The 22,053-nt window shown below is 37.7% G+C and overlaps 1 protein-coding gene and 1 long non-coding RNA gene across 5 annotated transcripts in view; one reads left to right on the top strand and one right to left on the bottom strand.

Moving 5' to 3' along the window:
• The window catches only part of NELL1 (neural EGFL like 1), a 906,136-nt gene that overhangs the window by 313,065 nt on the left and 571,018 nt on the right, over positions 1 to 22,053 (bottom strand). The window lies entirely within an intron of this gene.
• NELL1-AS1 (NELL1 antisense RNA 1) lies at positions 55 to 2,616 on the top strand. Its single transcript, NR_199070.1, has 2 exons — positions 55 to 84; positions 1,872 to 2,616. It is a non-coding gene; the product is annotated as an NELL1 antisense RNA 1 (long non-coding RNA).

The following is a 22,053-nucleotide window of genomic DNA, read 5'->3' as shown; positions in this document are numbered from 1 at the left end:
CAATGCTTTCAGAATCCTGAGGAAGGAACAATGATTTACAAACAGAAATACAATACCTTTTCAAATTGCCAGTCAAGAGTGAAGGTATAATTATTTTTAAAATGTATATGTTTTGTTTGCCATGTGCCAGATAGTTTTCTTAGCAATTTGTAAATATTAACTCACTTCATAAGACAGTTATCAGAGCAGAAATTTCTCAAAACCTCATCTCCCATGTAGTCTTTCTCAGGTAATTAATGGAGAACCAAGCCAGAGCGGTCAACTAAGAAAAGTAAGCACAGTACATAGGAACGGGGCTCTCACCCGACAGAGAGGCAAAAAGGACCCCAGAGTCATGGTACAGATATATTCCCAGGACATTCACTACACAGTGAACCTGGAAATCAACCAAACTGTGGGGGAGATTTATTCCAGAACATAAAAGAGTTAATGTCTTAGAGGGTATTTATACAACTAGAGGGAGTTTGAGGATTAATTATGATAATACCATAGTAAACTAAATAATAAGATTAATAAATTAGATGATTCTTAATGACAAGAGGAACGAAGAGCTATGCAAGAAAGAAAATCAAGTATATTCCATGATTAGATTATCAATAGCACACGCACAATCGTAATAACATAAACGATACTAACCTAACGAGAAGATATGTGGAGAGGTGTGTAAAAAAATGAAAACTTAAAAATATCACAAAGTAGCAAAGAAATGTGCTATTTAAAGATCTGAACGAAAACACCAATTGAATCTGTTAAAAGCATTGAAAGTGGTTGCCTCTAGGGATAGGAAATAGGGAACTGTTTCCAAGGGATTAATCTTCCCTATAAAACTTTCTAGAACTGTTTAGTTCTTTAAACTACATGTATGTAGAGACTTGAAATTACAAAATAATTTCTCAGTGTTCATAAACAGATTTTTCCTTTGAGGCAGTACTGCATAAAGGTTAAAAATTAGCAGATTGCTTGGGTTTAATCCTGGCTCTTTCATTAATAGCTACTTGACCTTGGGCAAATTCTTTAATCGCTCTCTGCCTCTGTTTCCTCTTGTGTAAATGCAGGTAGGTAATAGTATCTTCCTCACAGAGTTTTGTGAGGGCTAAATATATGCAATTTGAACAGTGCCTAGCTCAACATGAAGTTTATGATCATAATTAGTCGTACAAATGGAATATTTGAGGGTATTTTAGGTCCATCTAAATAATAAAAGAAATAAAACTAAAGCAACAGGACATGTAGAGGGGAACAACACACTGGAGCCTTTCAAAGGATGGAAAGGGGAAGGAGGGAGAGGATCAGGAAAAATAACTAATGGGTACTATGCTTAATATCTGAGTGATGAAATAATCTTACAACAAACCTCCATGACACAAGTTTACCTATGCAACAAACCTGCACTTGTACCCCTGACCTTGAAATAAAAGTAAAAAAAAAAAAGGCCATTTCATTTTATTTTCACCCAAATTATCTATACTGGCCCAAAATTATGATTTAAAAATGTCGAGGAACCAGCAGACTAACATTCTAAGTAGCAATGATTTATTAAGCAACCCTTTGATAACTGAATACAGTTGCTAACTATGATCACTTACTGAATTTCTATTCAATAAGGTATAGAGGGTTCTTTAATATTACCTCCACTTAAAGAATATTTATAGCCCTTAATATTCTAACCTCCCTCCACTTAATAATTTCAGAAATTGATAGAAAGTATTAATATGTCTTCTAAAGGAAAAATGAATTAACTTCCATGTATAATTCTCTCCTTACCAAAAAAAAATATTTAAAAAGCTGTCTTCATATTTTGTGAGCTCTGGCTAATTTTTTAATATTTGTAAAGCCAATATGAGTATAAGTTAAAATTTATTCTTCTTCAGTATGCCAAGAAAAAAGGAGAGGCTCCTCAATAACCCTCAAGACATAATGTCATTTTCTCTCCTGTGGATGAAGACTCTCTATCTGCTGAATATTTATTAGTCTGCTGGGTCACCTGCTAGAAAACAGACAATTCTCCAGCAACTTCAAACACTCTTCTTCACTGAACTACAGTTTGGTATGAGACGTCAAAGGATAAGAATGTGCATACCTAAATGGTCAAATGAAGATGAATGTTCCATATGGCTTTTGCCCCATACTGCCCAAGACTGTGTTAAAAACTAAATACATCAGGATGCTCTAAGCCACTGAAGAGCCATGTTTGCCAGTCACATTATACTGGGCTTCTCTGGTTATACAAAGGGACACCTAATGAAGATATTCTGTTGATATAAAAGCAGTCTCATGGACAGTAATCTTTCTATATCCTTAGGCAGCCACAATACTGCCTGTCAAATATAATTACCAGCAGAAGAACAGAAAACTAACACTTACCTATTACCTTGTTAACATGTCCACAATGAGCCAATATGAAATGAACATAATAATGGTGTCATTTGTGGGGAAAAGCCTGAGAGACATGGTTTATAGTGCTCACCAAGGTCTGAATGTCAGAAAGAATATTATGTGATAAGACTATTTTAACATGCAAATATAATGGGCCAGGTTTTCCGTTTGGTTTCCTGCTATATCCACCACATCTAGAATAGTATTTGGTACTCAATAAATATCTGTTCACTTAATGAATTGAGAACTATGCTGAGTTGTACTTTAAAGGTGATTTATTAATAAAATATTTGGTGGTAATTTTGAGTGTACATAAATCACATCTCAAATTTATTGCTCACATATGACCCTACTCTAAAACATGATTAGAACAACTCTATTTAAATTCAACTTAAATGCAAATCTGCTTAACAGGGTGAATTGCTTCAGTCATAAAGACTGGGTTCCCAAAAGCTATGCAAGCTAATTCTTGAAAAAAAGTCATTTTTGAAAACACAGAATAAAAAAGAAAAAGGTCTATGGACTATAGTGGTCTAGAGAAACTCCGACTTAGTATTTTGCATCTTCTTTTTTTTCTCTGTAAAACACCAGTGTAAGCATGTCACTTTTGTGTTTTAGATGGATTTAGGTCCAAAATTCTTAGTAGGGCATTCAAGGCTTCCTGGCTACCGACCCCAGTCTGTCTATTGCAGCACTCTTCTTGGAACTCTTTTCATCTGCTGTCCACTCACATTGCAACTCAGCACCATCACATGATATCCTGTTCTCCAAAAGGCTGAAAAATTGTATTTCCATAACTTTACTCATGCTATTCCTCTGCCCCAAAAGTCTACCCCTCATATCCATTTGGCAAAGTCCCACTTGTCCTTTGAAATTCCCAAGGAAATAAGGCCACTTCTCTAAAGCCTTCCCTGACCCCCTAATTATAGCAAACCACTCCCATTATGCTTTATAATAATGGCTCCCTTAAAGCACAATAGAATTGTACAGTTATCAAACGTTTCTCCATCTAGATTATAACATCCTCAAGGGTGGAGATGGTGTCTCATTCATGCTGAGTCTCCAAAATCTAGTACAGTATTTCTTATACAATAAATGCCCAACAAGTGTTTTTAGGTGTTACCTCAGCCATTTTTGCACTGCCCCCCTCCCGCTTCTATAGGAACAATATAAAGCATTCTTTGTCAAAGACAAAATTTACCTTAGGTTTATAGTCTTCTTGTCTTAGGGACGTTCTATTTTTGCTGGTCTGACTACTGGCCTACATTTGACCCTGTGACTATACTGTTCCTGGTTCTCTATTTCCTAAGCTTGGATCCAACTCTTGCTTCTCTAAACAATTCCATTAGTAATAATTATGGCTACCATTTTCTGAACCTCTATCTCTGCCTATGCTTCACAAATTTTCTCACTTAATCTCTAAGCAACTCATGAGATTATAAAAATGGATTCATAAAGTGTAAGTATGATGGTTAATTTTATGTGTCAGCTTGACTAGGTTATGAGATGCCCGGATATTTGGTCAAACATTATTCTGAGTGTTTCTGTGAGCGTGTTTTTTTGATGAGAATAACATTTTGAATCAGTAGACTGAATAAAGCAGATTGCCCTCCATTACCTAGGTGGGCCATATCTAATCAGTTGAAGGGCTGAATAGGCAAAAAGCTAACCTTCCTACAAATAAGAAAATTCTCCTGCCTGCCTTTCTTCAAACTAGTACAACAGCTCTGCAAATTTAGGACTTGCCAGCCTTCATAATTGCATGAGACAATTTCTTATATTATGTAATAAATACATAATATCATAATTATTAACCATAAAATATGTTGATTTTATATACATTCTATTACTTCTGTTTCTCTGGAGAATCCTAATTAATACTTTACCAAGACAACAGTGCTAATTAGCTACAGAACTAGAATTTCAATTGAGGTCTGTTTCCACAGTCCATGCTTCAGCAAACACCATCCATAGGATGTTATCAAGAAACAGCTTTTCTTCTGGCTCTGACACTGGAGGAAAAGATTTTCCCTTGTCCTCAAATGAAATCTTGGCCTTCAGCAAGTCACATAACATTTTTTTCTCACTCTCAGATAACAGCAAGTCCTGTGGACAAATGTCCAGCCCCAGATAAGAATCCAAACCTTAAACTTGCTTCAACATCTGATTTTAACTTCTTCTCCACTTCGGGCGTCTCCTGTAGTTGAGCACTTACAGTGAGACAAAGAGTCATGGTCCTTTCTCTCTTCCCACCAATGTGTCTCCCTCTTCCCCACGTTGCTTTTTGTTTTCTTCTGCCAGGATCAGATTGAGGAAAAGAGACTAGGAGAAAGGGATGTATCTTGCTGGTTGGTACATTTGTCACTTAGGGTAGGATGCTCTGGTGGCAGATGAACAGTTGTGGACACTGTCATGGATAATCCCCTCCTACCATTAAACTGGCATGAGCAACAGCTCTCATTCAGGTGGCCACTTTAGCCACAACTCCTGGTTCTCTTTCAATCCATTTGTATTCTCACTGTACTATTGCTTCTTTCAAGCAACATTCTTGACAAAGAATGTTGTCAAGAATGTCCAGTCCAGCATACTGGCCATGGGGAAACATCTATGACTCCTCTAACAGTTTGTTGGAATGTTCAGGAGTTCACCTTTACTTCCCCTCCAAATCAGTTCATCAGTGTGTCTCTCTGACATACTAGGTTGTCTCAAGAGGGGCTCAGATTCCAGTTTATTGTATCACCAAACTTCATACAACATAGATGAGGCTCTCCAAGTGATCTGATTGAAGATCTCCCAGGCCTGATCAAAAGGAAGGTGCAAGTCCACTTGCAGATGAAAATGTGAGGCTCACAGGACAGATTCCTCTAGATAAAGTATTATCATAAAATCCTAACTACATTTCCTTGAAATTTCCAAATCCTTGAAATAGATGAGGAGCTCAACATCATGAAACTAGCTTTAAAATATCTACTTCAGAATGCCCACTTAGTGGTGTGGCATCTCACTTTGAAACTGCACATAAATTGTATCCCAGGGCCACACTGGAACATGAAGAGTTCTATTCTAATATATTCTTACAGTTGACACTGTTCGTCCCTCCCCTACATCTCCTTGGGTCTTACCATTTTGACACACACCTGCCTGACTTCCCACTGCCAGCAACTGCATCTCTGAGACTGAGGGGAAGCTCTAGGAACTAGTGCTAGGAAATTAATTTTCCTGTGGAGCAGCTACGTAGCAGTGACATACTGCCTGAGTGAGATAAATTTGGGTCACATTTTCCCAAAATTTCCTACCAGGATTGGGTTCCTGCTGTGCACAGCTGTAACCCACTTCACTTGAATGAAGTACCCAACACTGGATGTCTTGCCTTTCCTGTCTCACTTGCCCATTGCCCTATACCCGTGCTTCCGGTGCTCACCTCCCAGATACAATCTATGAGCTCAAATCCTTTTCTCACAGTCTTCTGGGAGAGCCAGACACTCACACTCTTAATCATTCTTCTGCATTGTCATTGTCCTTGCCTCCACAGTTGCACCCAGAGCAAGAACTTTGAAAGACAGACACTATGTGAGTAGTCACATACCTACTGTGATGGCAACAGCCTCCACATCTTAACAAAAGTGAGCATTTTTAGGTCACTGGCAGTTTGCCAACATGAACACAGCTGACCCCAAGAAGTCAGGATGAGACCTGCTATATAATTCCAGGTAAAGAAGCAGTCAAAGCACAATGATGACCTTAAGCTACTTATGACGTGAGGCCAAAGAAAAATGCCAGTGCTAGTAGATCCAAGAGCAGATCTGCCTTCCAGATCTTAATTGTTGCCACTTGATTTGTTTTCTACCTGGCTTCAGACTCAGATCAGTAGCTCTTCAGTTCTGTTAACTACACAGTGCAGAAATAAATCCACTAAATGTAGCATTTATGTGCTCAAGTCAAGTTGCCCCAATCTTTATGTCTATCTTTAGTTCTCAGAGAGAGCAAATATACATTATATAAAGATTGCTCAGTAGAGGTAAAAATTACATATCATATAGGTACAAAGTGAAAGAACCTTGGAAAAATAAATGTCACAAACATGAATGGTCGTGTTGGACATCCATTCACTGAATGCTCTTTATGGACCAGATGGTATGCTAGGCAATGAAGGTAAGAAAGATATTAGGTCTGTTCTTAAGAGAATCACAGCCTGGGAGGGGAGACAGCTACATAAAGACACAATATGATATATATACCGAGTGTTAGAATGAAGGTAAGAATTGTCTGCAATGGGAGGAGAAAGGAAGAAACATGTTTGAGCGCTAAAGGAATTTAAAAAGAAACATTTTCTTAAAAAGTTGAAACCCAGAGAAAATTCCAAGCAGAAATACCAGCAAGTACAAAAGTATGAAAATAGACAAAGCAAGAGGTGTTCCCCATTAGAAGTGGAAGTGAGAAGAGTAAAAAGTGAATCTGGATAGGTAGGCACAAGCTAATGAGACCTGAATGAATTGGGTATGTCTGAAACTTTATTTTTTCTAGCATATTTCTATAATCAAATATAAAAATAGAAGAAATATAATCTGCAATCAGGAAATGCAATAATTAAATTGTGTTAGGAAATGGAAAGGAAGAGGAGACACAGGCTGATTACTGTAGAAATGTATGACATGTAACTTCTTTAGCAGTACATCTTCATTTCCAGCTTTCGAGCTATACTGAAGTTGTTTTTTTCTCCCCCAGATGTTTGCCTGAATGCAATCTTGCCAAATTGCATTCTAATTCTTCCTCCAAAGCTAGTGCACACAAGATATTTTTCTAAGAAAGTTCTGAGTTTAGTGGTTAGCTCTGTAGTAGATGATTCAAGCAGAAAAGCCTATTTGCCTTACAATATATCCTGGGGGTTTCTTAAGGAGAGTTTCTCTGCTTTTCCATCACTAAAAGAACAACACAATTACTTTCCTGGGAAACAGAAATTTAAAGAACACAGGTTATCAACAATCTTAAGAAAGCTGAGATGTCAGATTCAGAAGTTCAGCTTCTGTGGACAGACAAGATAAATGTCAACCTCAGCTTAACCTCCGGGGGGGAAGATGTTGTCACCCGAATAGTTCTTTTAAGACCACTCCACCCAGGGTTAAGGATATTCTCACTTGGCTCCATTAAAGGCCTCAGGACAGGGCATGGGACACCTAGTCTCTTTGTTGTTAATTTGGAGAGTGCATTCTACCCTGTAAATTAGCTCATCCTAGCCCAGCATGTCTGTCATTTCAGATCATTACCATTCCCTCTGCTCCCTCTCATGTCACACAAAGGTGAAAGAATATGCTTCTGGAAGGCAATTCAATGAGTGTTTGAAGGCTGTGGGGCTTGCTCAGCTGCTCTCAAATGTCTCTGAACTCCATGCAACCACACTGTATCCCCTCAGTGGCCATCTCGGCACAGCTGGGCTTTTTCAGAAATGGCTGTGAAATGTACTGTGAAAAGAAGAGAGAGCAAAACTCTACTTAATAGCAAATAGAAAGCTCACCAACTAGATCAGTTCAGCTTGGTCTTTTCATCAATGTTCACCAGTGTATCTGCCACCTGAACCGCCAAGGACTTACTAACAAACACAAGCCTGGCCAGAGATTTTTGAAAATGGCTGGTAGACAAACACGAATTTCCAGGCAGTTCCACAGATCTCAGCTCCCTCGGGCATGTGTATGTTAACTCTCCTGCTGTCCAATTTCAAATCTCCTTTCTGACCCATCCCCTTTTCTCCATGAAGTCTTTTTTTCGTATAAATTGAGCAAATGTTACCTTAACATTAACCTTTCTCATGATACTTAATTTATGCCTTTGTTTGCTGGGCATTGAATTTTTTAAGCCACCTATTAATTCATTCTGATGGTGCAATTTCCATAATGTAATTTCTTTGGTAGAGAGGAAATGGCTTTTTTCTATCATCATATTTTCTTCAGGTACCATTATGAATGTTCTATTTAGTCTTGCAATTAGTCTTATACTTAACATATGCTGACTTCACAGAGACACATTTATTATTTTCATTGCCTAATGCTATGAAAAGAAATTCTTGGTGTAGATCAGTAGCCTATATTTTTCAGGCAATTTTGATAATTGAATGACCAGGCATATGGAGAAGGAGTAAGCTCCATATACATGCTATGCTCTTCCCTGCAACTGATCCACAGTGTTCCTTTACATGGATTTTCTTTCTCTTTTTCACCACATGTCCCTCTGCAAACCTCTGACTTTGTTTATCTGTCTCATATCTGCATCCCCTCAGTAGTCAACTTAAAAATAACTTCTTCAAACCTTCCTAGTCCTTCAAATTTAAACTAAGAGGTTGAGGTTCCTCCTTTCTCCATTGGAGTATATCCACACTACATTGTTTAATTGCCTTGATTTGCTTGTTTATAGCCCTCACAAAATTATAATCTCTTCAATGGCAGAAGCTGTGTTTTTTTGTTTTGTTTTAACCGTCACATCCCTGCCTTTAGACATCTAATATATCCTTGGCTGACTGACTATTATAGAGTGAATTATAGAATGATCACATGTTCTATCCCAATTTGTCTAATATGGAACTGGCTGTTTTGCCAATGAAACCAGTAATAGCTCACTCCCAAAAGTATCACAAGTTGGATTAATATATATGGTTGCCTTTATGAGCAATACATTGGAAGAAGAATATATTCCATATTCAGAGAATCTGCATTTGAATCTGAGCTCTAGTATGTCTTTGTAGTATGACCTTGAGCAAGTTACTTCCCTTCTTTAATCCCAGTTTCATCATCTATAAAACAAGGTTGAAGACAGTATTTACCTAAAGGGTTATTCTTAGAAACATTGGAAAATGACACAGTGGAAATTACTTTGAGAACAGGCAAATTGCTATGTAAATCATAATTACCACTCTATCACTACAGTATTAGTATATACAGCAGTATATACAGACAGATAAAAATAGCCATGAAACTAACAAAATAGTCTAGAAAGACATCATGGAATAAAGAAAAGATTTCCAAGAATTAAAGAACTTGGGTTCTCAGCCTCATTCTTTCATTAAGAGGTTATAGGTATGTCCTTCCCCCAGGGCATCCTGACCTTTAAATAGGAGAGATGATCCCTAAAGGTCATTCTAGCTCTAAAATGCCTGGTTGTCTACAAATGAGGTGTTTTCCACCATTTCTTGATAACCCTTAACCACAGAGACATTTGATTACTTACAACAATGTAAATTTTATAAATTTACTCAACTATAAATACTTCAAAGTAAAGTATAGACTAGGCTACCTCAACTATTAGCAGTTGTACACTCCAAGACCATGAATTACTAAGTTGTAAAGTTATTAATCAGGGGTAGGTGCTGAGAGGCCACAGAATGCAAAACCATGTTTAAGTTTAAGTAATAGAAAGCTGCCTTCGAAGAGATTAGAATCTAATATTTGAGACTTTTGTGTTATTCTTAATGACCTTCTTACTTATCCTGAGTGTTTTCCTTCTTTGGATAGCTCTACTAAAAGATTAAACATATAAATGAAAGCAAAACCTCAAACTCCACGTTTGATCAGAGTATGAGAAGCTTCCATTTTAGTTCCATTTCTGATTAATTCCCAATTATAAATTCATTACAGAGGGACTTGATAGCTTTTGACTAAATTTAGCAAGGGATATCAAAATATATCTGAGCTCATTTTGAGGTTCAAACTGCTATCCTAAAAAGTATAACATGCCATAATTTTTCAGATGAAAATACCTTCCTTTAGCTGCATGAGATTTGAAAGAAACTTACGCATGGTCAAACGGGAGTGTCAGGCACAACTTGGTGTCAAGTCTCTGGTCTGTGCTTCTGGATCCCTGATCTAGCTCCATTTTTTATCCCATTCCATGGATCAAACCTGACCTAAGGCACAGGTATACCTGCCCCCAAAACCAATGTTACAATAGGAAAACCAATTGGATCTACCCATTTTACTCAGTGTTTCTTCCTTGGTCCCTATTCTCAAGATCCTAGTTACCTAGCCTCTGTAACATACCAGTGAAAAGAAAATGAACTTTGAAGTCAGACCTGAGTTCGAATCTTGTTTCTGCCATTTACTAACTGTGTGACTATTGGTAGCTACTAAGTCTCTGTTGTCTCATCTATAAATAGAATAATGAATGTCCTTTGGAGATTTAGCAAGAATTAAATGGAGCAGTGTGTGTAAACATGTGACACAGTCTTGCGTGTAAACACTCCATATGTGTCCATTAATTTCTGTGTGTGCCTGTGTGCATTCAATGAACACAACCCTGTTCTTTCATGAACATTAATCTTGTTCTTGCCCTTGATTTTCCGGTAGTCTGAAGCTCTATCATTGAAGTTGTTCCAGAACTTCATCTTAGTGTATGTAACATAACTACTCACTTACAGACCATCTTGAAGCCAAAATCTGCTTGGTTCATTGAATATTTCCAACTCCAAAGTCTTCTTCATGGTGATCCATTCCATCGCCTTGAACCTCCTCATGTCATTGCCAAAGTTTACCTGGACTATGATCATTAATTATTGATTCCCTTGGACCCTGGATTTGCCCACCAGAATGAGCACTGCCTGGTGGTAACTTCAGCTTCCTTACATCCTGATCATTTGTCCCTAAATATTCCTACCTGGTGGATCTAGTGCTGCCCTGTCCCATGAAAGTGGTCTGCACTTGCTGTTGATGGCGGGTGGAGGTGGGGGGCTGGGAGAGAGTGTAGTATGTTACTGGAACTAAATTGTCTCTAACTTCATGTGATTATATTTGACTAAGGAGGGTTAGGCTAGTTAATAATGTATAAGATTATGGATTTATATGCTTGGATCTTCAATTGCATATTTGCATGATGTTCTATGCAACTATACAATGATGATTTTTAAAGAGTCTCCTTTTATATTGGGGGAATAGAGGATCTGAATGCCCTCACCTCAGAAATTCTGTGACTAATCTCTGGGTGCTTAAGTCAGACCCTGACACTGTCCATCACATACTGTCATACAGGTATCTAGATAATGTAGGCATGCTGTTTTTTAAAAAGTAAGTGTCCTTAGCAGTAATTAAACAGATCTAAGTGGTAAACTCTTATAGATGCTTTCATGCTTAAAGTCTCAGTATATCTCAAAAACCTCCATTTTTATATCTGATAATGCTTTTTTATATATGCCTGATAAATGGCATTTACATTTGAACTAGACCTCAGATTCCTCATTTAAGCATTCAGAACCGAGGACTCAAAAGGAAAAGAGAATGCCACAAGAACGTAGTGGGGCTTAGTGACTGAGCCAGGACGAAAACCCAGTCCATATGGTTTACAAATTCAAGAGCTTCCCAACCAGAGTGTCAAGAATAGGGTAAGGTATGCTGAGCTACTGATCCCCTCAAACCAGCCTGGCCACCTTTAGCAGTGAGAAGCCTCATCTATTTATTTCCATGTACCTATCAAACATTATAATTTATATGTGTATCATAATATAAAAAGGTTTGGGATTCACTTATTTCTCTTTATTCCCAACATTTATAATCTGCAATGTCAAGGAATAGAGTGTTTTGCTCAAGATAATACAATTTATGGAATGATCTGAATTAGAGTCACTGGTTTAATCTTACCCAAAGGTTGACTCTTTTGAGTTTGTTTGTGTTCTAAATTCCTATCAGCCAAAGACAAAATATGACAACTTTCCTTATCTATCTAGGTGATTAGGCTATAGGCCTTCAAATCCAGCTGGCAGCTGATAAGAAATCAAAACACCATTCTGAAGAAGAGGAAAAAGATATTTCAATTCCAACAGCCAGGAGCAAGGAAGAGCCCTGCAGGTTTTCAGGATGGTGTAAATGATGCAAAGTGGTGGCTGTGTCATAGCCCTAAACTGAAAGGCCCCCGAGTGGAGTGGAGAGGAGAAAAGTACCTAAAAAGCCCACATATGCATTCATACAATAAGTAACTGTTACTTAGAGATCACTGCAAATCAGGTTTATGTTAAATAACTGCAAATTACTCCTCTACACAGATCCCTGTCTGAATCTTTTAATATGTGAAGATGCTTTTTGAGTAGGATCTGAATTAACTTTCCCAGTACTCAAAGAATGAACCCTTATGACACTTTTAAATAGTTGCTGGTTTGTTGCCAACCACATTAGCAAAAGTACTGGTTACTAAGTAAAAAATATTTTAAGACTAAATTACAGTAAACATGAAAGCTCCACAGTTTAAACCCAATATAAATCAACCATATCCAATTATCAAGTTAAAACAAAGAATATTAACTCCTGAAAGCTGAAAGCAAGATTTTTTAAAAAACATCACCAATGGGTATTTTAGACTTTTGCAGTTTTTTGTCCAAATCTTCTTGATATTGTGAACTGTACCCCTTCCAGTTTAGTTTCTTCTGGACTTTCCTTACTTAACTGACAGTTACCTTTTAAAATTTGCACACATTATGATTAAAATTGGGCCTCTACTGTGATGATTCCTATTTCCTCTCATGTTTTAAAGTGCAAACTAACATTCAAGTGAACATTAGCATCAAGTAATGCAGACATTTGTATGCATTTCCTTGATTCAATTTGTGACCTTACCAGTTTTGAATTGGAATTGCACCATTTCGTAGATAAAGGAAACTAAGTATATTGCTGCACTTTTAAGTTTTCAAAATAGTGTTTAAAAATTGCATTGTTTTTATTTTTTTTAAACTCAGTTTAAAAAGACAAAATGTTCTTTCAAAAGAGGCATCTAAATGTGTTCCTAATTTTGTATATGGGCTTAGGTTTTGTAACCAATAAAAAAAGCTGCTATCAAATATGAAAAAAAAAATAAGTAACTGTTTTAGTGAATAAGAAAAAAAAACCTTCTTTCAAGAATATATCTGTTGAAATTGATAATAATGTGGTCATGCCTGAGGGAAAAATGCATAGGTTTTGTAGTCAAACCTACTAATTATTCTTCCATCTAAAACACTGTCTTCCCTTTGGCTTAATAATAAGAACCTTGATCACCAGATTTGCATAATCTCTACACCAAATATATCTCACCCTCATAAAAATACAATGATTTTCCCATTAGGATATGAAGGATTCTTACTGCTTTTCTTCACATAGAAGCTGAGTTACCCTACAAGCAGTTAGTGCTTTGTTAAAAAATGACAGAAACTGATTAAATGGGGTTAAGCAAAACTAGGGGGTGGTCCTGACTTCAGGCAGGGCTGGGTATAGAGGCCCCCCAGCAACAGTATCATCAGGATCTGGTTCAACCTTATCCCTTTATTCAGTTCTCTCTGTTGGCTTCCTCCTCAGACAGCCTCTTCCCTGTCATCATGTTCTTCCAGATTCCCTCCCACAGTAGAAAAATGAGACTCATTGTCCAATATTACCAGGATAAAAAACAAAAACAAACCTACTTTGATTGGCTTGTGTAACAGGACAAATCCTGAACCAGTCCTTGTGGCCAGGAAAATGCACTGTTATAATGGTCTTAAAGAAAAGTTATGAGTTCCAATGCTAAATCCATATGGACTGAAAGCGAGCACGGGTGGGTCCCAGAAGGAAATCGAGAAACATTTAGCAGCAGGGTAAAAGAACGCTGGGTGGCAAAAAGTAACAGATGTCCTATTCTCCACTTGAGCTGTCCTTGTTTCCTCACCACCTACTTTCTCCTCAATTCTCTGTAATCCAGTTTCTACAGCTATCATTCCCCAGACTCTACCTCAGGAACCACCATTTGAAGGCTGAGACTAATCTAAACAGTGGCCACAAACCTCTGATTTCTTGCCATCACCCAAAATGCAGTCCATCCCTATATCCACCTCAATTCAAACTTACAATCAGATACTGCACTTCCTCTCTCCTGCTTTGTTTTGTCTTGTTATGTTGTTTCTTTTCTTTTCTTTTCTTTTTTTTTTTTGACAGGCTCTCACTGTCACTCAGGCTGGAGTGCAGTGGCATGATCTCGGATCACTGCAGCTTCGACATCCTGGGCTTAAGCAATCCTCCCATGTCAGCCTCCTGAGTAGCTGGGACCACAAGGTGCGTGCCACCACATCCAGCTAATTTTTTGTATTTTGGTAGAGATGGAGTTTTGTCATGTTGCTCAGGTTGGTCTTGAACTCCTGAGCTCAAGCCATCCACCAGCCCTGGCCTGCCAAAAGGCTGGAATTACAGGCGTGAGCCACTGCACCCGGCCTCCTGCTCTTTTTTGTACCAGAGATACTGGCTATAACTTTTAAAATTTCTGCCAATGGGAATGAAATTTCTCTATACCTCCATCTCTTCAGAGAATGCTTCCTCCACCGTCCATATGATGGATTGCATATAAAATGGTGGTCCCATAAGATTATAAGGAAGCTGAAAAATTATAATGGAGCTGAAAAATTCCTATTGGTCATAATGTCGTAGCCCAGTGCATCAATCACATGTTTGTGGTGATGCTGGTGTAAACAAACCTACTGTGCTGCCAATCATATAACGGTATAGCATATACAATTATATACAGTACATAAGAGTTGATAGTGACAAACAGCTATGTTACTGGTTTATGTCTTTACTGTGCTATTGTTTTTAATCATTGTTGTATAGTCCCACTTACATATTTTAAAAAGTTAACCACAAAATACCCCACGTAGGTCCTTCAGGAGATATTCCAGAATAAGGCACTGTTACCATTGGAGATGACACCTCCATGCGTGCTATTGCCCCTGAAGACCCTCTAACGGGACAAAAGTTGGAGGTGGAAGACAGTGATACTGATGATTCTGACCCTGTGTGATGTGTGTGTTTTTGTCTTCATTTTAAACAAAAAACCTCAAAAGGTTAAAAAAAAATTAAAAATAGACAAAAGCTTATAGAATAAGGCTATAAAGAAATTAGTTTACAGAGATGTACAATGTGTTTTTTAAGCTAAGTGTTATTGCAAACCAGTCAAAAAGATTTTAAAATATAAAGGTTTATAAAGTAAAAAAGGTATAATAAGCTAAAGTTAATTTATTATTGAAGAAAAATATTTTAATAAATGTAGCGTTGCCAAAGTGTACAGTGTATATACAGCCTACCATAGTGTACAGCAATGTCCTAGGCCTTCACATTCACTCAACCACTCACTCACTGACTCACCCAGGGCAACTTCCAGTCCTGCAAGCTCCAGTCATGGTAAGTGCCCTATATAGGTGTACCACTCTTTATCTTTTATACCACATTTTTACTGTGTTTAGATATTGATATGGTTTGGCTGTGTCCCCACCCAAATCTCATTTTGAATTGTAGCTACCATAATTCCCACATGTTGTGGGAGGGACCCAGTAGGAGATAATTGAATCATGGGGGCGGTTCCCCCATACTGTTCTTGTGATAGTGAATAAATCTCGCAAGAGCTGATGATTTTATAAGAGATTTCTCCTCTCTGGCTTGCCACCATGTAAGGTGTGCCTTTTGCCTTTTGCCATGATTGTGAGGCCTCCTCAGCCACGTGGAATTGTGAGTCCATTAAACCTCTTTTTCTTTATAAATTACCCAGTCTCGGGTATGTCTCTATCAGCAGCATGAAAACAGACTAATACAAATATGTTCAGATAGACAAATATTACCATTGTGTTATAATTGCCTCAAATATTAAGTACAGTAACATGCTATATAGGCTTGTAGCCTAGAAAAAATAGGCCATATCGTAGAGTCTAGGTATGTAGTAAGCTATACCATCTAGGTTTGTGTAAGTACACTGTATTATATACATATAACAACAAAATCGCCTAAGGACACATTTCTCAGAACATATCTCCATCATTAAGTAATACATGACTATAATTAGATCCATGTCCATGCTCGAAATGTCTGTATCCTTTACAGCTCTTTCCATTCCATGGAAAGCTTTGGCATTCTCCAAGCTTGCTAATGCTGATATCTACACACATGACAATTTCAGTGTTACATAAACCTTTTCTTGACATCTAACCTCCACTCTAGCCTAAACTACATAGCTGATTGCCTCAGACATCCTTTCTGCACCTCAGTTTGCTCACATATAATATGGAGACAATACTTCTGCCTTCTTCATAGAAAACTGGTATGATTTAAATGAGATACATGCTGTAAAGTTCTTAGCCCAGTGCCTGACATATAGACGCTCAATATATATTAGCTGTTATTACTGTCATATGGGTGGGCTTGCAGGTATATGGTCATACTTTACTATATCTGTATTATTTCAACATTCTTTGAGTCAAAAAAAAACAATTTGTATTAAATGGAATAATTTGAATCTGGTGGACCAGATGATTGCTGTCACTATTCTGATGCCCAAAGACACATCCAAACAGAGACTGAATCTAAAGTGCCTGTGCATTGAGCAGGATCCTTATTTATTGACTCTTAATTTTCTTAGTACAGCTTAAAACCTTCCCCTTCATAACATAAATACCTAAAGGTAAGTCTAAGAGAAAGGTATTTTGTAATTACTGAGTTCCTACTATGTGCCAAGCAGTCAAAATAGGTAATTTCACTTAATCCTCACAACTATTTTATTGCATGTTTTCCTCAATGAACATTTACTAAATAACCCATACATGATAAGCTTTGGGACACAAAGATGACAAGGATACATTGTCCGCCTGCCTACGCCAGTGAGGGAAACAGATTAAGCAAATTAACAAGTACAGTGCAGTGTGAATAAATGCCAGGACAGAGAGTGATATTCTGGACACAGAGTAGAGGTGAAAACAAACTGCCTTAAGGAGGTAAAACCTGAACTTCATTTTGAACGACAAGGAAAAGCCAAATAAAAATGAGAGAAAAGATATTTCCTTCCAACTGAGGACACAACAGCTAAGAATTTACTGTGTACAAGCACTGTGCCAAGCACTTTATTTATTTCTCATCTCATTCTTATAACCTGAGGAAGCAGGTTCACAGAAGCTTGTGTAACTTCCAAGGCCACAGAAATTGCCAAGAGCTAGAGCCCAGCTTTGAATACAGGCAACTGACTCCAAAGCCTCATGCATTTAACCACTGAGCTATTTCACAGCAGGGAAGAAGGGAAGACTTGGAAAACTATGAGTAGTTTTAGTTTGACTAAAATACAGGTTTTGTGTGGGGGAAAAGGAAATGAGGCTACAGAGGCAGGTGAGAACTAAATTAGGAATGGCCTGTGTATCCCACTAAGAAGTGCTAATTCCATCCTCAATGTAACATGTAAGAAGGATGCATGGCAGGATCTTAAGCATGGAGTCATAAGGTAGATAGATAGATACCTAATGGCAACAATTTATATGCCAGGATGTGCCCTAAGCAGTACACTCCATTTAATCTTAAAAACAATCCATGGAGATAGACACAATTATTATCCCCAGTTGTAAAAGTGAGGCACAGAGAAGTTAAGTGACTAGCCCAAGATGGCACACTAGCTAAGTAGAAGAGCCAAACTTCCAACCAAGCAGTCTAGCTCCAGAAACCGTGACCTTCACCACTCAGTCACCTTGCTTGCAGGTAGAACACGGACAATCTCTCTGGCTCCACCTATGTGCTAGATGAATTTGAGAGTATCTATCCTGGAAGAGACAGGCAACATGGGAAGACAATATTCTTCAGGCAAGAGAGCAAACTCAGAGAAGTGAGGAGACTTTGCCCCAGATCAGACATGTGCCAGAGTTGGGATTTGAGTCCAAGAGTGTCATATTCAAAAGTCCTTAAATTTATAATGTTTGGGGATGTGTACTGCTAATTCAATTTCTATAAAATTATTCCAAATTCTAAATTATCTTGGTCTACATTGAGATTTTATTCTCTGTACATTCAGCATTCAAGTATGATCCCACTAAGTGCTGTGCTTAAGCATGTCAGAAAATTATCCACAAATTGCCATGTTTCCCTATCCTCAAGAATGCATGGGCTCTTCTCTGTCTAATGGCTGTAAGAGAGCCTGCAGAGCATGTCACTATTTAAAGTTAATAAGCATCAGCACAGTGAGCAGATCATTATGAAAATCATTATGTCTGCTCTCTCATGAACTGTTTTTAATATGAAATTGATCTTAAAATGCAACGAAAGTAAATGCTATAGATTTGTTGTGTTCTTTTTTCTCCTACTCTCTTATCTTAGTAAAATTTGAAGTTTAATGAATGTTACTCATTTCTATTCAATATCTGACTTTATGGTGAAGTTCCATCCAGAGACAGGAAATGTTATGCTGTAGAAGGAATGAGGTATTCTCAACCTCTGGTATATGGATTCCAGCTACCTGTCTGCTTAATAAATGCTACAATGTTGCATCCCACCAAAAGCCAGACTTGGGCTGCTCAACATAACAAAAAAAATAATGGAAAGTACCATTTCATTTTAAGGGTGCCCTGCTGCCTCTCCAGAGATCACCCCTTTGTGTGCTTAAGGGTGCAGATTAAAGAGTGTGCCTTTTTTTTTAATTAATTTAAACCTACACTGAAAGTTTTACAATGGCTATGGTAGCCACTAACCACAGGTGGCTGCTGAGCACTTGAAATGTCGCTAGTCTGAACTGAGATGTGTCTAACCTGTGTCTAGTATCTTTCTTATGGCAGCTTCTAAAAAATTTTAAATCACATATGTGGTTCACATTATCTTTCAGTTGAACAGTACTGTTCTAGAGCCTTTACGTCTTCTACTAATCTCATAGCATTCACGTGTTATGTGCATGTGCGCATTTTGCTTTGTTTTGGTAAAGATACAGCGAGTCCTCTTCCAAGAAATTCATTACAATTTGCTTTCCTTCTACAAATACAGTCTTCAAAGAGGTAACTTAAGTGAAGATACCAAGACTCAGTTTTCTTATCTGTAAAACAGAGTTTGCCCACTAGACCCCAAAGATTGTTTCCTAGCTTTAAGCAGTCTAGGAGGCTGAGTCAAAATCATTTTCTACCTCATCTAGTTACATGTGCAAAAACGGCCTATGCTTCAGAAAGATATGAAAAATTCCTCATCTACACATGCACTTATTTAAGCAAAGTATTCATTTTATGGAATTTTAATATTCTACCTACAAGAAGTATACCTTAGATTCGTTCATTATTCCTAATAAAAATCTAAAATAAATTATAAACTGTTAATAGATATGAATACTTGATTTTTTGCCATATCCCTGCCTAGTATCTTTCAGAATATACCACATTAAAAATGGCATCATCCTCAAATGAGTAGGGTGATAGAAAAACACAGCCTGAGGGAATTCACATATCATTCTCTGTTGCAAGTTTAAAAAGGACAAATTCCCAAGTTGGGGGAAAAATGATCACTAACAACAGGAAGGGAACTGTCATATGGACAAGTGGGAATCAGTTATGTAAGTAATAGGATTATGAAAGGTCCAGAGCTCAGGTGGAGTGTTATTCTATTATGTCACTAGAAGTTTCACTCAAAAGATATTTAATGATTGAGTTCCTTGTACTACTTCAAGTGACCCATAAAGCAGTTTCTCAATTTTCCTTAAAACTGGCAGCATCAGAGGCTTAGATAAAAAGCAACTGTCTTTAATTTGATTGAAGCCAGAGAAAAGTGGTGATGACACGGTTGGAAGGGATGAGTTTACTCAAACAGAGAGTTATTTAAACTCTGGATATTCACAGTAATTTTTACGTGTAGGCCTACAAGAGATCTTTACAGTGTATCAGGCAGAATCCATTTCAGAAATACATGAGGTTTATTTTCTACAAACAATAATGCAGCTAATTTTATTCATGTAGCATTTTATTTACAACAGCAGTGTAGCAGAGGCTGCTGGAACCAAACAATATCTGTGTTCTCCCCTGCTTCCTGGGCACACATAGCTTCTGTTTTATTGTTCGGTGTGGCCATGGACTGAGTTCTGGCCAATTCAATGCAAGACAAAAGTGATAGGTGCTGCTTTCATAATGGTCCCTAAAAACCTCTCGTGTTTGACCTTTTATTCTTTTCCCATCTTCTGACGGAGTGGTAAGGATTCTGAAAACCAAGAGGTTAGAGACACAAGATAGAAAGTGACTGTATTCCTGAATCACTGTGACACACAACCACTCTCACCATTAGCTGTTAATGAGAAATAAATAATATTGTGTTGGACCCACTGAAGTTTTGGAGTTTATCTGTTACAGCATCTACCATCATTTACTTATCTTTAACAAGCAGTTTCTCATGTGTTCATCATTTTACCGTAAACATTTTCTCACTTAGGAGCTGAGAGTGAGAAAAAAATTTGAAAATGCCATCATATCTATTCACAGACAAGGAAATGTGAAACAATAGGTCATTTGACTGGTTTATTCTCACAGGACAAGGTGTAACACACATGTCCTTGGAAGTAAACGTCTAGCTGTAAATGACACAATTAGGCAAAAAAAAAAAAAAAAATAGAAACAGACATCGAATTCAGTCGAACCAGAAGATGGCTGTGTTTTAAAGATGAAACACAGCTGAATGAACTCTACTATAAGCATATCTAACTTTATTGCAGAAAGCAAACAGAGTGGCATGCATAGGGCTGAAATGAAAAAAACAAACACATAATTCTGTTTGGGGTAGAAATAAGTAGAAATGTGAAAACAGGCAAGTGAGAACCACACACATTCTACTGGTCAGTCCTAGTTAAACATTCCACCAATATCTGATGGCAGAAAGACTACAGTTAGCACTACCCCCAAATTATGCTGACACTTGTACATTATTTGTAAATATTTTTAAATTTATCCTTTGTTGCCTTAAAAAAGACCTGAGTCAAGAGAAGCCTCTTGAAGCATCTGGACCAAGCAGACCCAGTAACAGTACTTGGCGTAAGCCTAAGCTAGTTTACATAACATAACAGCCATTAAAAGGTAACAGATCTATTTAAGCTAACCTTGCCTTACAATATGGCACCCAACCAGGTGAGACAGTTCTTTGGCTCTATTTAAGGCAAATACTCTGCCCATAACCTGAGCTGATGTGGACATATCAACTAGAGCTGGCTGCCATTCTATAATAGTACCAGCTGTTGAATACTGTGAATATTTTGCAAATAACTGCTACCCAAAACAGATCATAATCCAGTAGATAGCCTACATATTGACAATGAAATATTTCAGTAATGTTTCCTAAAGTCTCCTGGTCCATTGAGAATTGTTACTAAGGAAAGGAAAACAATCTTATTCTGATTGCTTGAGAGAAAGTCAATGTTTGGTAGCCTGTTTTAAAATAAAACTGACTGATATATGTATACGGCTTTGCTAATCTTATGGGTCATTTCAGATGTGACAATTATGGTTAACAAACATCTATGTAACTCAGCAAAGTGCAACCTGGAAATGCACTCAAAAGAATCAGCACTTGTCTAAGTGTCAGATTTCCACTCCCTCTGAGATACAAGCTGATCTGATTTAACATGTTTCCCTTAAGCCTCTAGGGATGTAGTTACTGTCTACTGGGCTGCAAACTTTAAAAGGTAAGCGCTGACTTTGGAAAGTGATGGAAAGTGTTTTAAGCGCATCCAATAGACTCCCCCCTCCCCCCCCCCACTAGAAAGGCACTTGAAGGAAAGGAATATTAAAGGCTAGGACAAGACTACGTCAAGGTGCACCTTGTTAAGCCAAAAGAACGCAATCCATATATTGTATCTTGTGCCACAAAAGTCCCTTTGCCTTGCCCCAATCTTGTTAATGTACTATTGCTGGGTTCAAGACTGAAAATACAGCTTCTGTGTCTACTTGCAGTC

The sequence above is a fragment of the Homo sapiens genome, chromosome 11, assembly GCF_000001405.40.
Source record: "Homo sapiens chromosome 11, GRCh38.p14 Primary Assembly".
Taxonomy (NCBI): Eukaryota; Metazoa; Chordata; class Mammalia; order Primates; family Hominidae; genus Homo; species Homo sapiens.
The sequence above is the reverse complement of the archived record's forward strand: the minus strand, read 5'-3'. Positions and strand labels throughout refer to the sequence as shown.